The sequence below is a fragment of the Homo sapiens genome, chromosome 2 (genome assembly GCF_000001405.40).
Source record: "Homo sapiens chromosome 2, GRCh38.p14 Primary Assembly".
NCBI classification, from domain to species: Eukaryota; Metazoa; Chordata; class Mammalia; order Primates; family Hominidae; genus Homo; species Homo sapiens.
Window position 1 is genome coordinate 39,329,658 of NC_000002.12, and position 13,411 is coordinate 39,343,068.

General features: G+C 35.0%; 1 protein-coding gene across 5 annotated transcripts in view; it reads right to left on the reverse strand.

Moving 5' to 3' along the window:
- The window catches only part of MAP4K3 (mitogen-activated protein kinase kinase kinase kinase 3), a 188,020-nt gene that overhangs the window by 80,392 nt on the left and 94,217 nt on the right, over window positions 1-13,411 (reverse strand). For all 5 annotated transcript variants that reach the window (NM_001410753.1, XM_047446092.1, NM_001270425.2 and 2 more), the window contains 4 exons: window positions 7,869-7,924; window positions 7,263-7,310; window positions 3,875-3,917; window positions 2,260-2,332 (listed from right to left, as the gene is read on the reverse strand). In NM_001410753.1, the coding sequence (NP_001397682.1) occupies window positions 2,260-2,332; window positions 3,875-3,917; window positions 7,263-7,310; window positions 7,869-7,924 (220 nt within the window). The remainder of the gene's footprint in view (window positions 1-2,259; window positions 2,333-3,874; window positions 3,918-7,262; window positions 7,311-7,868; window positions 7,925-13,411) is intronic.

Here is a 13,411-nt window from a genome sequence, read left to right on the forward strand (position 1 = left end):
TGGATAAGGACCAAGACGAAGAAGAGAGACTGCAGACTCAAGAGACACCAGGAACCAAGGAGTGAAGAGGTTAAAGGGAGAGGACATGATTAAGTAGAAGTACGTATATAGAACAATGAACATCTCTGCTTCCTTCACTTGACCAGTTCTAGAACATAACAACCAGGTTTACACCCGACTTCCCAAACAAAAAGAGTTATGAACCAGTTTTTAGTGCCATGCTCTTCAAAGTGAACCAAAATGTAAGGATTAGTGGACATTTGAGGGAAGGCTCCATCATGAAAATATGAATGTAGAGAGTTGAGGAACTCTTATAAGTAGAACAAAAAAGATTTTTTTGTTCTTAGAGAAAATATAAGAAAATTAATAGATTAATTTAAGTGGTCCAAGATACAACCAGTGAGTTCCATAGAGAGCAGGAAAAAGTACAGCAAAGAAATTATCAAAGAAATGACACAAGAGTACTTCCCAAAACTGAAAAGACATGAGTCTTTGGATTATAAAGCACAAATGCCAAGTACAATGAATAAAAGTAAAAACAATAAAAAAATATTTTTTGAGGTATATAATTATGGAATATCAAAACACCAGGAATGATTCTAGGGGGAGGAGTTACATTCAATAGATCATAGATAATGGTATCACACCATGGGCACCACAGAAGACACTAGTGCAATACTTCAAAAACTCTATCCTAGAATTACCCACCAAAATTATCAATCATGTACAAGGATACACATGCAAAATCTCAAAAATGTTACTCCCATGCACGGTTTCTCAGAAAGTTATTAAAATGTGTTTCACACACACAAAAAGGAAGGAGTACATCATGAAAGAAGAAGACCTAGAATCCAAGAAAGGAATGCTAAGCTGAAGATGAAAGACTGCCAGAGCAGAGCCAGGCAAAAGAGCTAGAGAATTCAACAGTCCAGGCTGGAACAGGAGGGAAAATGACTCCAGGAAGGATTATTCTAGGAAAACAAAAACAAAAACAAAAATAAAGCAACAACAACCCGACAAAAATCAGCACTGACAGATAATGTGACAGACTTTATGGTATAGAAAATTATACAGAGGCATCTTACAAAACTGCAAAATGAGGGAAGGTATGGAAAGTGTTAATCAGGGATTTAAAAACAGAAACAAGAAACTAAGTAAATTTAAAATGAAATTATTAAAATCAGGAAAAGCTTTTTTCAGGAAAGTACTGTTAATTGACTCAGCAAAGTACACTGGAAAGATAAGATGATTGAAAGATGAATGAAGAGAGCTAAGATCTTCAACTGTCATAACGCAGTATCTGTAAATGAATAATGCTAGAGATGGCAGAAGTTACAACTAAGTTTTTCTCATATGCCTTTTTAGCATTATTTGACTTTTAAAATATATATTGATGAAAAGATAGGCTGACATGAAAATGGTATATACATCATATTCTAAATGCAAAAAAATTAGTAGTAGCAATTAAAGCTATATGACTGCTGATGAGTCAGATGAAGAGGGCATCAGGGGAGTGGTTGCACATAAGCTGAAAGCAAGGTAGGAATTCCAGGGTGCTGTTACTTCAAAGTAATGATATGAACAAAAAAAGCTCTATACCAATCCACCATTATCATCATACTGCTTAATATCACATCTAGCATAGTAAGCGGCCAAAAACTATTCTGTAAATAAATATGCGAGTAGGATAGTTTTTATACTATGATCAGTATCTAACAGACAAACATGGCTAGAAAGGAAGGTCCATGGAGAAGACTGGTAAGAGCTAAGGCTAATGAAGCAGACAGAGGCCAGATCACAGAAGACTCAACTGTCAAGAAATCTGCATTTGATCCTATAGGCAACCAAGACATGCCAAAAAGTTTTTAGCAAAGAGGTACTTGAATAATGTAATGTTGAAAGATTAATCACAATATGGACTGGAAATGGGGGTGAAGAAAGATATAAAAACACCTGTGAAAATACATGAGAAATGTACAGGAAAAAGAGTCAGGATTTTCCAGCAAGGCTAGAACAAATATTAAGGTTTCTGAAAGCCATATCAATCATTAAAGCCTTTTCTCCTTAGTGAAAAATAACATGGTAGGATATTTTCTGGCCATGTAATCCACCCATAAGTGTACATGCCTGAATTACTTTGCCTGTTGATGACTTTTTTCTTAATCTTAGTCTGAAAAATTCTGACCAGTCTATTTTTTAGAAATGCTATATCCAATAATGATAGAACAAAGTATTAAATATCAATTAAAATACAATTACCAATATGGTGTGCCAATGAAAGACTTCCGTTTGGCAATTGTAGCTGTTATCTGTGCAGATACTCCAAAATCAGCTATTAAAAAAAATGAGAAACATTTAGGAAACTGAGAGAAAATAAAATTGTTTAAGGCAACATAAAAAGAAACTTTTAAAAGTTATTTTTATTAAGTTAATTTTACAGCAATACGGGATATTCTCAAACATCACATTACAAATTTTAACCTTAATGGACTCGCATTAAAATATCACAAAGTAGTGAATACATATCACAGCCAAATAAGATTCCCATATATCCCCACATAAATCAAATAACAAAGGTCAAGATCAAATAATTTTGAAGAGAAAGTGATAGCTGAGAGAATGTAAATTGCCAAACTTATTAATATTGTAATTTCTAATTCTCAGGACCAGAAATCCAAGGAATATCACTGGAAGGGATCTTTAAGAGACATTATATTCCATTCACTTTCTCCATACCCATGATTGACATCAGATAAACCAGTAAGTCTACTTGCAGCTTGAAAAGACATCCAATCAGAATATCCCCAAACTTAACAATACATTTAGTACCAGTATCAGTCACTATCAGGAAATTATTTTTATGTATGATTTGTTACTATTCTTTTAGATAAGTATTTGGAGATCTAATATTTTCTAGTTTACTAATGATGACTTCTAAAACCTTCTCAAGTAAGATATATTATAAATAGTATGTCTTTGAGTGAGGCACATCACACTGGCACAAAATATTAAACTGCTGATAAAAACTGTTCACTAAGCAATCAATAGATAACTAAAAAGAACAGGACATATCTTTTCTGCTTTTCCCATATTTAGAAGTCACGGAGGAAATTTTTATTATATGTTAATTTCTAGATACATATTCTTAAATCTGATTAATCTCACAGGTTATAGTTCAAAATAGTTATATCTATATTTTTATAAAATGCTTATTTTTAATTTGGGTTTATCTAATAGATATAGTTTAAAATAACTGTTTTCTATTTGTTATTAACTATTTCATTTAATACTAACAAATATGACTTTGTTCATAAAACTATAACGAACACTTGTTCTTAAACTTGCAAATTAAGTCATTATTTAGGTTTTGAACTCTATTTTAATTGAAAATTTAACAACCTACAGTTACAAAATGAAATATGTTACTGTTTGAAATAAAGCAACATTCAGCATCTAAATTACATTCTTAAGTAAGTAATGCTGTATTTTATTTTAAAAGCTTTATGTGAAGAATAAAGTGTTTTTGGAGTTACTGATTTTTTGATATTTGTCTTATTTTTTGGTTACAAGGTAATTCTGTACAGATTTCTTACTATTACAGAAGTCACATTCCTGGGTTTAGAGGTGAAAGAATTCAGAAAGGGTATTCTTTCACAGTATCTTTACAACAGATATGTCTTATGTGAAGGACAGACTTTATCCCTGTTTAAGAGAAGTGGATGCAGAGAGGTGACAGCATGGCAACGAGATTTCCATCTAAAAATACACAGATGCCGTCTTAGGAGAGGGAAAACCTGGTCCTACAAAGGAAAACATAAACTTTACTATATCTTAGAATAGATTTGTGCACGTGACAAAATTCCAATTTACTTACCCAATTTCACATGACCATTATCCGTTAATAGAATGTTAGCTCCCTTCAAAGTAACAATATTTTAGTTAGAGTAGGAAATAGATATTTTATCAGACAGCACATATATAATAAATATACATATTTAAAATAATCACAGCCTTAGACCTAGAAATACTTAAAGTGTGCTTAATTAAAATGTCGTATCATTAGAGTCATAGGTAAATCTACTGTCCACTTTTTAGGCAACTTGACTATCTTTATAAAATGTTCTGCCTTGCAAAAAAGCTGCTACTAACATAGTATGAATGTTAATATAAAAGTGATATATTAGTTTTCATCAAAATGTTATTTCCTCATTGATCAAACACTATCACCACACTATAATGTAACCGTACAATGCATTTTCAACTGTTTACATTACACTTTAAACTTGATTATTGTTTCCCATTTTTGTGTGTGTGTGTGTGTGTGTGTGTGTGTGTGTGTGTGTTTTTAAAAGAACCTCCCTTTCTAGGAACTCACCATCAATTGAACCAGGGTTGGTATGTGAGACTGTACCTTGCTGCTTAGTACATGAGGTTGTCTATCCTAATGTGCCTTACCAAGTGCTTAGGCCCATCCAGTACATAAACAACTAGCCACAGGCCCACAAAATTAAAATGTCACCCCTCTGCATGATCTGGTTGCATTTTAGCCACTTTTGCTTCTTGATCTAAGCTCAAAGTAGATAATGATGACTTCATCTTCAATAAGCTCAAAGCTTTTGGAAGAGATAGCAATACTATATCCCAAAGGTATTGTGGGCTCTTTGGTCCAAGGTGCCATCAATCATGTAAGTATGGGTTTGGTGGAAAAAATACTGGGAACCCTCCTACTCTCAACCAACATGAGGAAAAAACAGTAAAAGACTGGCACAGGAGACAGGGGGTTGGGGAGAAAAAAAAAGGCTCCTAAACTCCAAATGTCACCAGTGAAGCTGAGCTGCACCCACCCACTGATACTACTGTAGCTCTGTGGAATAGTAGGGGAAGGAGAAAAAGGAAAGAGACTAGGAGCAGGGATTTTAACTTGATCTAGTACCTAGCTATCTAAGACTTCTGTCAGAGGCTTCAGTTTGGCCTTTCTTCAGCTCAGACTAACTTTCCTAAGTTATAGCTTATAATCACATCACTTGTACATTATGGCCTTTCTCTCCTCCCTCCTTTCCCTCCCTGAGAGGCTACTAGTAGTCAGGTGCTATTTTAAGCTCTGGGGTTACAATAATGAGTAAGTTCCAATTCCCATGGAGTTTACATCCAAGTAGGAGGAAAAAACTTAAAATAAATATATTTATCATCTATGAATGAATGAATCAACAAATGATTCAAAGTCAGGTAGAAATAATTACTCTGAAGACACAGCAGGGAAGGCCTCTCCAAAGGCAGTAATATATGAGCAGAGATCTGGGTGAAGTAAGGGTACAGAGCCACACCAAAATCTGGGAGAAGACTATTTCAGGAAAGGAGGAGGAAATTTGAAGACCTGGGGCTAGAATGAGCTCAACATATTCTAAGATCGGCAAGTTTAGTGTGGCTGGAAAAGAATGAGTAAAACAGAGAAACCTGGAGTATAAGATGAGGTCACGGAGAAATGCATGGGTCAGACCACGTATAACCTTGCAGGTCATGGTAAAGGCATCTGGACTTTATACTGAGTACAATGGGAAAGCAATGGTGGTTTATAAGCAGGAGAGTGATAAGATATGGTTGAAAAGGTCCCTTTGGTCGCCAAGCAGAAAAGTGACTACAAAACCACTAAGAATGGGAGCATTGAGACCACTCAGGCTATTACAAAAGACCACATGATATAATATTATGGTGGCTTAGACAGGAGTAGAAATGGTGGCGATGACCCAAATCAAATCAACCCAATTAGGCCCAGACTCTGAAGTCTAGCACACAAGTCCTTGCATAATGGAACATCAAACTACCCAACCAGTCCCATCTCTAATTAGTCTCATACATTCTCTTCTCTTCAATAATATGGTACAGTTTTTATGTTCTCTAAAATGGCCTCACACTTTCTAACTTCTGTATCTGCTCACATTGTTTTCTCTGCTTGAAATGTACTCCAACTTCCATTTCTGACAAAAATCTGTCAATCCTCCCAGATCATCTACATGCCAATGACACAGAACCTTTCTTGAGCTGCTCATCTTCCTGTGAGCTCTTCTACCTTTGAACTCCAAAAGCTCTTTATGTCTTTTAAGTGGATCACAAAAAAATACCTTCAAACAAGGGATCTCAGCAGGTTATCTGCGAGTCCATTGAAATTTCTTGGAAAATTTGAAGACATGCGCATAAGGGCATTTTCTCAGAAGACAGTTCATAGTTTATCATCAGAAACCCAGAGGACAGTAAGATTTGCCCCAGCCTCTATCCTCAAAAAAGGTTAAAAATCTTTATGTTAGAGAAAATGTTAGAAAACAAAAGGGGAAGAGAGAAATATGAGGAAGGATGAACAAAGAAGGCACAAGAAAAATAAGTGAAAGAAAAAAAATCTAAACTGGGGAGATGGCAGTATCTTTAGAAATATGCTAAGGATTCCTACCAGAGCACATGCTGTACCACTGGGCTAACCCCAGCACATTCAGAGCACCTGCTCTCCTTTGCCAGCTAAATAAATAAAAGACTATGAGAAGGCAGGACACAGTGGCTCACGTCTGTAATCCTGGCACTTTTAGGAGGCCGAGGTGGGATGATCACCTGAGGTCAGGAGATCGAGACCAGCCTGGCCAACATGATGAAATCCTGTCTTTACTAAAAATATGAAAATTAGCCAAGCATGGTGGCAGGTGGCTGTAATCCCAGCTACTCGGGAGGCTGAGGCAGGGGAATCACTTGAACCCGGGAGGGGAGGTTGCAGTGAGCCGACATCGTGCCACTGCACTCTAGCCTGGGCAACAGAGCGAGACTCCATCTCAAAAAAAAAAAAAAAAAAAAAAAAAAAAAAGACTATGAGAAAGTGTCAAAGGTCAATTTATCCATTTTGATGCATTACTAAGACTTAGACTTAAGACTGCGAAAGCTCACTGAAATAGTCAAAGCATAAAACTTACTAAAAACTATAACTTGATGAAAGCTATAAGCTTACTCTGCATTTTACTAATCAATAACTACAAAGAAGCTAAAATGAGTTATTAAAACATTAATCTACTGAATGATATACTTTAAAAGGGTGAATTTTATGGTATGTGAATTGTGCCTCAATAAAGCTGCTATAAAAAATTAAACTATTAAAAGTATCACTCATTTTTATTATGGTAACATTTCAGATGCATTTATCAAATAAAACAATTTTGCTCAAAACAATTTGATCAGAGTATTTAAAAATGAAGAGAGGGTTATTATGTTAAAAATATAATGTATACCTTTATATCTCTGTGCATTTTTCCTTTACTGTGAAGATAATATAATCCCTGGAGTTTCAAAAAACAGAAAAATAAACAAGATTTTATCAAAGAGCACTCTTTTGGATTTTATGTAATCAAATGGGTAGTATTCTGTGTATTTTATTTAATCTTTACAGGAGATCTAGTACTAATCATTAACATATTTTAATGAGATATCCTAAAAAAAGATCAAGAAAATGACTAATTTTTCTAAGAAAATTTTCAGTGAATTCTACAAATAGTTTGAAATAACTTTTAAAAAGTATATACCTAATTAGTATCAGAGTGTTTGAATTCCCATGATAGTGCTTAATTTTCAAGCCTTTCTTTGGTATTAAGAGGAAAATATACAATAACAGATGCATAGTGCTTAAATTTTAGGTTATATCATCACATTTATGCTTTAAAGTATTTATTTGTAAATATAATTTGAGTTCATTACACAATTTTCAAATGTATTAAAACTCATTTTAAGAGTTTACCAAACTAAAATATTTAGTTCTTACTTTGCTGAACAGGTAATGCACAGTAAGTAAAGCCTTAGTTTAATGAAAAATGTTATTTTTGAATTAGCACTTGATTTACCTGCAGTGTTTCTCTGCTAACATATGCAATTTGCAGTTCTGACAGAGGTCCAGTTACTGTAAAAGAAGACAATTAATACTCATAAAATTAGTCAACGCATGTTTTTCAATATATAATAAAGTTTTACAAGTTTAAGCAACAGACTTAATATCCCTAAACAATTCTACTGAAATGTAAGCTAGGACTACAGGCATGAATTACTACTGTCCTACTGTGCCTGGCTCCAGTTTTTTTTTTTTTTTTTTTTTTTTTTTTGAGACAGGGTCTCATTATGTCACCCAGGCTGGAGTGTAGTGCAATCACAGCTCACTGCAGCCTCGACCTCCTGGGCTCAAGTGATCCTCCCACCTCAGCCTCTTGAGTGGCTGGGGGCATAGGTGCATGCCACCACACCTGGCTAGTTTATTTTTCATTTTTTGCAGAGATGGGGTCTCATTATCTTGCCCAGGCTGGTATTGAATTTCTGGGCTCAAGCAATCTTCCTGCCTCAGCCTCCTGAAGTGCTGGAATTACAGGTGTGAGCCACTGTGCCCAGCCAATTTTTTGCTTTTTAAAAATCTGATTTGCTCATTGTTGTATCTCCAGTGTGCAGAACAGTGCCTGGCACAGAAAAGCAGCCTGATAAATATTTATGGAATGAATGAATGTCTAAAGTAGTCACTGAAATTAATTATATTCTCATTTTTATATCTCATTCATCAATATCATCTCTTAAACATCAAAAGAAACGATGTCCAATAGGTTTAGCTGGCTTTTATTAAAGCTTTTTAGTTGATATAGAACATGTATTATGACTAGTTTTAAATCAATACTTCTTATAAAAATATTAGCCAGATAGCTATAAAATTAATACATGTTCACTCTAAAGTTCCAATCAATAGAAAAGTTTGGAAATTAAAGGTCTCTTCTTTATCCAAAATGTTACTCAACAGTAAGCAATACCAATAGTTTGGTCTATAACCTACCAGACTATTTTAAACGGACATTTTATAAACTATTTGTATCTCAGAAACTTTACATAAGTGGAATCATACAATTCTGAAACCTACTCTTTTCACTTACGATGAACACCTTTACATCAATATATAGGTCTTAATCTTATAAGTAATATTTCCTGTGTATGCATCTGCTAAGTCCCTCCAGAACTCACGTTGAAACTTAATCTCAAAGAGGCAGGACACTGAGGAGGAGATTAGGTCATGAGTGCTCCTCCCTTGTGAAGGAGATTAAGACTCTTAATAAAAGAGACTTCAAGCAGTGTCTACTCTTTTTTGCCCTTCCATCTCTTCTGCCATGTGAGGACACAGTGTGTGTGCACTCTATGAGAAATGGGTCCTTGCCAGACACCAAACCTGTTGGCACCTTGATCTTGCACTTCCCAGCCTCCAGAAGTGTGAGAAATAAATTTCTGTTGTTTATAAATTACTCAGTCTCAGGCATTTTGTTATAGCAGCACAAACAGAGCATCTGTACACTAAAATAGTTTTCTTTTTCACTATTAAATCACTTTAGAATAAAAAGTGGGAGAGACTATTCTAGAAATTGAATTAAATTCCAAGGATAAAAACCTTGGCTAGATAGTAAACTCACATTTACACAAACTTAACAGATTTGTAAACATGTTTAGTTTGGAGTACTTGTGGTATTTTACAATTATGAAAGAGAGAAATCTATTCCAATTAGATTATTTTAAGGACCGGGTTGGGTTTAAATGTCTATGGATAAACCATGTAACTTATTTCTGTGGCTTCCAAGCCCACACACATTCAGTAAGATAAACCTCCTTGAGATTTCTGTTTCTATAATATGATAAATAAGATAATCTGAAAACCCTGAAAATAACACTTGGAAGTGAAAGACAATTTTTTTTTCAGAAATAACCTTTTCAATTACTAGCTAACTTTACAAACAGTAAGATACTTTCCCAGGAGACAAATGAAAAACAGAAGGTAAAACTGTGAAAGAATATTCTAGCTGTCTCTTAGGGGAAGGTTAATCCTGGTAAGCTAGGGCTTTAGCATTATCCTCTACATGGGTACAGAAGACAAGGCCCTAGGTATGCAGAAGAGCTAAAACAAACACCCACATAAAACCAGAAGTCTCAGAGGGCTACATCCTCATTAAAGGTGTAGACAAGCACGACGATAACTAGGGATTTTGGCTGTCATAGGGATGGAGGAAACATGCCTCCTCTTAGAATTTGTCACCATAGGCCTCCTTACTCAGGTTGAGCATTCAAATATATATTGGAAACAATGAGGTCACCAGGATCCCAGAAAAAAAACAACAACAACCCAAAAAACAAAAACAAAACTCTGGAAGGACACATCTTCAAATGCCACATAGAATTCCCACTGAAAAACCTCACTAAAAATGATCTCAAAATCCAAAATTATAAAATAAGTGAGAAAATAATTAACCATAAAGATATAACGGGTTGTGGAAAGTTATTAAAGAACAATATTAAATAAACAAACACAAAAAGCTCAATGGAAAATAGAAAAAAATCCTATTATGTTGGAACAATAAAAGGTTCTACTGTTAGTTCTTCAAAGTAAAAGTAAATAAAAGTTAAAGGGGAAACCTTGCAAGCACTAGGATTATTAAAAGAACTTCCCCTTCATTAAATAAATTATTCCAGGATATAATACTCTCTCTATATAATGACAATGTGATAAAAAAGAGGCAGAAGAGAGAGACACATAGAAAGAAATGGAGGTACGTGTCCTACATGACCGTGCAAGTATACAACACCATAGACTAGCCAAAGATTATTACACATTGCCACGAAAAGGTTATTTGGTGAAAACATGGGTACAGCCAAAAGAGTGAACACAGAGAAAGATAGGATTTGGGGTTCTGCATAAGCATATGAATCCCCAATATTCATATATGAGAACATCCAGGGTACCTGAAAACTGCCATTTTTTTCCACTGAGCCAGTTGCTGACCAGTATAAATAAATCAGTATTGACGAATTCATATTACTTTGTTACTTTTACCAGTTAGGTTGAAATGGAATGGTAAGAATCATGACAACCTATTTCTGTAACGAAACTGGTCTTGCTTCTTAATGAAGAAAGCAGAATCAGACACCTAAGACCAATCATATGGATATATGATGAAATCACTAAACAATCTGAGAATGACTAAAAAAAGGTACGCCTTAAAAACTAAAGATGTAAAAGAAGGAATGAAAACTGTAAGAATAAGACACAAAGGAAAAAATAATGGAGGGAGATATAAAATAGAACCAAATAATTTCTAGACATGAAAATATATGGTAACCAAAAATAAAATCTAATGGATGTTCTAATACAGCTGTAAAATCAGTAAACTGGAAGATAGATATGAGTATCTCCAGGCTCTCCTGAAGGATAAAAAACTGGTAAATAGGAAATTGAGTTGAAGAGACATGAAGACCTACTGTACATCTAACTAAGATTCTAAAGGAGAGATCGCAGATTGGGGGAGAAAATATTTGAAGACATAATAATTGATAATTGTCCAGATGTGATAAAAGAGCAAAATTCACAGAGGTAAGCCTGTTAAGTCCCAAGCAGAAAAAGTAAAAATAAACCCATTCTTAGGCACCAGAAATTAAGAGAAAAAGACAAAAAGCAATTAGAGATAAGAACAGATTACCTGCAAAGGATCAATAATTAGACTGACAGAAGGTTCTAATAACCATAGAAGCTAAAAGACAATGGCCCACCTTCTTCAAAATGCTGAAAGAAAATACCTGTCAACCTAGAAAATACCTATCTATACCCACTTAAATAATCAACTAATACTGAGGGTCAAACACTGAGGAAGTTTACCACTAAAATATCACTGAAAAAACTTCAGGAGGCCGGGCGTGGTAGCTCATGCCTGTAATCCTAGCACTTTGGGAAGCTGAGGTGGGCGGATCACAAGGTCAGGAGTTCAAGACCAGCCTGGCCAATATGGTGAAACTCCATCTCTACTAAAAATATAAAAATTAGCCGGTGTGGTGGCAGGAACCTGTAGTCCCAGCTACTCAGGAGGCTGAGGCAGGAGAATCACTTGAACCCGGGAGGTGGAGGTTGCAGTGAGCCGAGATAGCACCACTGCACTCCAGCCTGCGCGACAGAGCAAGACTCCGTTTAAAAAAAAAAAAAAATTCAGCAAAAGGGAAATTAAACCAATTAGTAAGGAAATCAATAATAGAGAAATTCACCCAAATTCCAACCAAAAAAAAGTGGAATAGCCATTTGAATTTCTAACATAGAAATTACAAGCTTCTAGAAATACTGTTTTGTCATGTAAAATAATGCCAGATATCTCTTCATTTTCACTGAATCTTTGAAATCAAAATGCCACAAATAATAAAGAAAAGTTTCTCAAATATTTATCAAAGAACAACTATACTTAATTAAAAGTATCCTTAAAAAGTAACTTTTCATAAAGCAGAAACCTTCTCATACTCTTTCACCTGGTCTTCAAGGCTCTCCCTATTCGACCCCACACCCACACCAACAAGAGTGATCACACATGAGTCACACCTTCATGTTACTGTGCCAAGGCTTCATCTCTGAAAATGCACTTCTTTGTCTTTCTAGTATTATTATTATTATTATTATTATTATTATTATTATTATTATTATTTTGAGACAGAGTCTCGTTCTGTTGCCCAGGCTGTAGTCCAACGGTGCAATCTTGGCTCACTGCAACCTCCGCCTCCTAGGTTCAAGCAATTCTCCCGCCGCAGCCTTTGGAGTAGCTAGGATTACAAGCACCCACCATCATGCCCAGCTAATTTTGGTAGAGATGGGGTTTCACCATGTTGGCCAGGCCAGTCTTGAACTCCTGACCTCAGGTGATCTGCCCGCCTCAGCCTCCCAAAGTGCTGGGATTACAGGCATGAGCCACTGCACCCGGCCCTTCATCATCCTTTTTCTACCGAGTTTACCTATCTTTTAAAGACCAATGTAAGTAGCTTATTTTCTTTATTAAGTTTTCTAAAATGATTCCAGAAAATCCATCATTTCCTTTTCCCTATTTCAACTGTAATCCCAGTAAAATACTATTATGTCAATCTTTATGTTAAGTAAAACCTATGCCAAGAAGATAAAGTGAAATGAAGTAAAATAGAAACAGTAAAATTCTGACCCAAATAGTCTTACATCTCTGCTTTAGTGTAATTCACCCCTCAAATTACTTAAGTGGCCCCACACTAGAAAATAGGAGCCCAAATTCTATGAAAAAATGAGAAAAAAGGTCCACAATATTTTCTCAGAAAATAGACATTAAATAGATATTATTTTATTTTACATTAATCAAAAGCCTACTCTACAGTTTGTGACAATAATCCACTAATAGAAAGAGAAAAGGAAGAAAAAGAAAAGGCTATTTTACTTTACAAATCTCTTATACACTCCTTGAAATCCCAGTGAAAAATGTTTTAATCATTTTTGAATCCCTCGGAATCTGGCAGTATCTAAGAGAATAAACATTTAATTGATATTTCTTGAATACATGAGAGCAAAATAAATTATCTTTGTATTATCACTACTCATGTA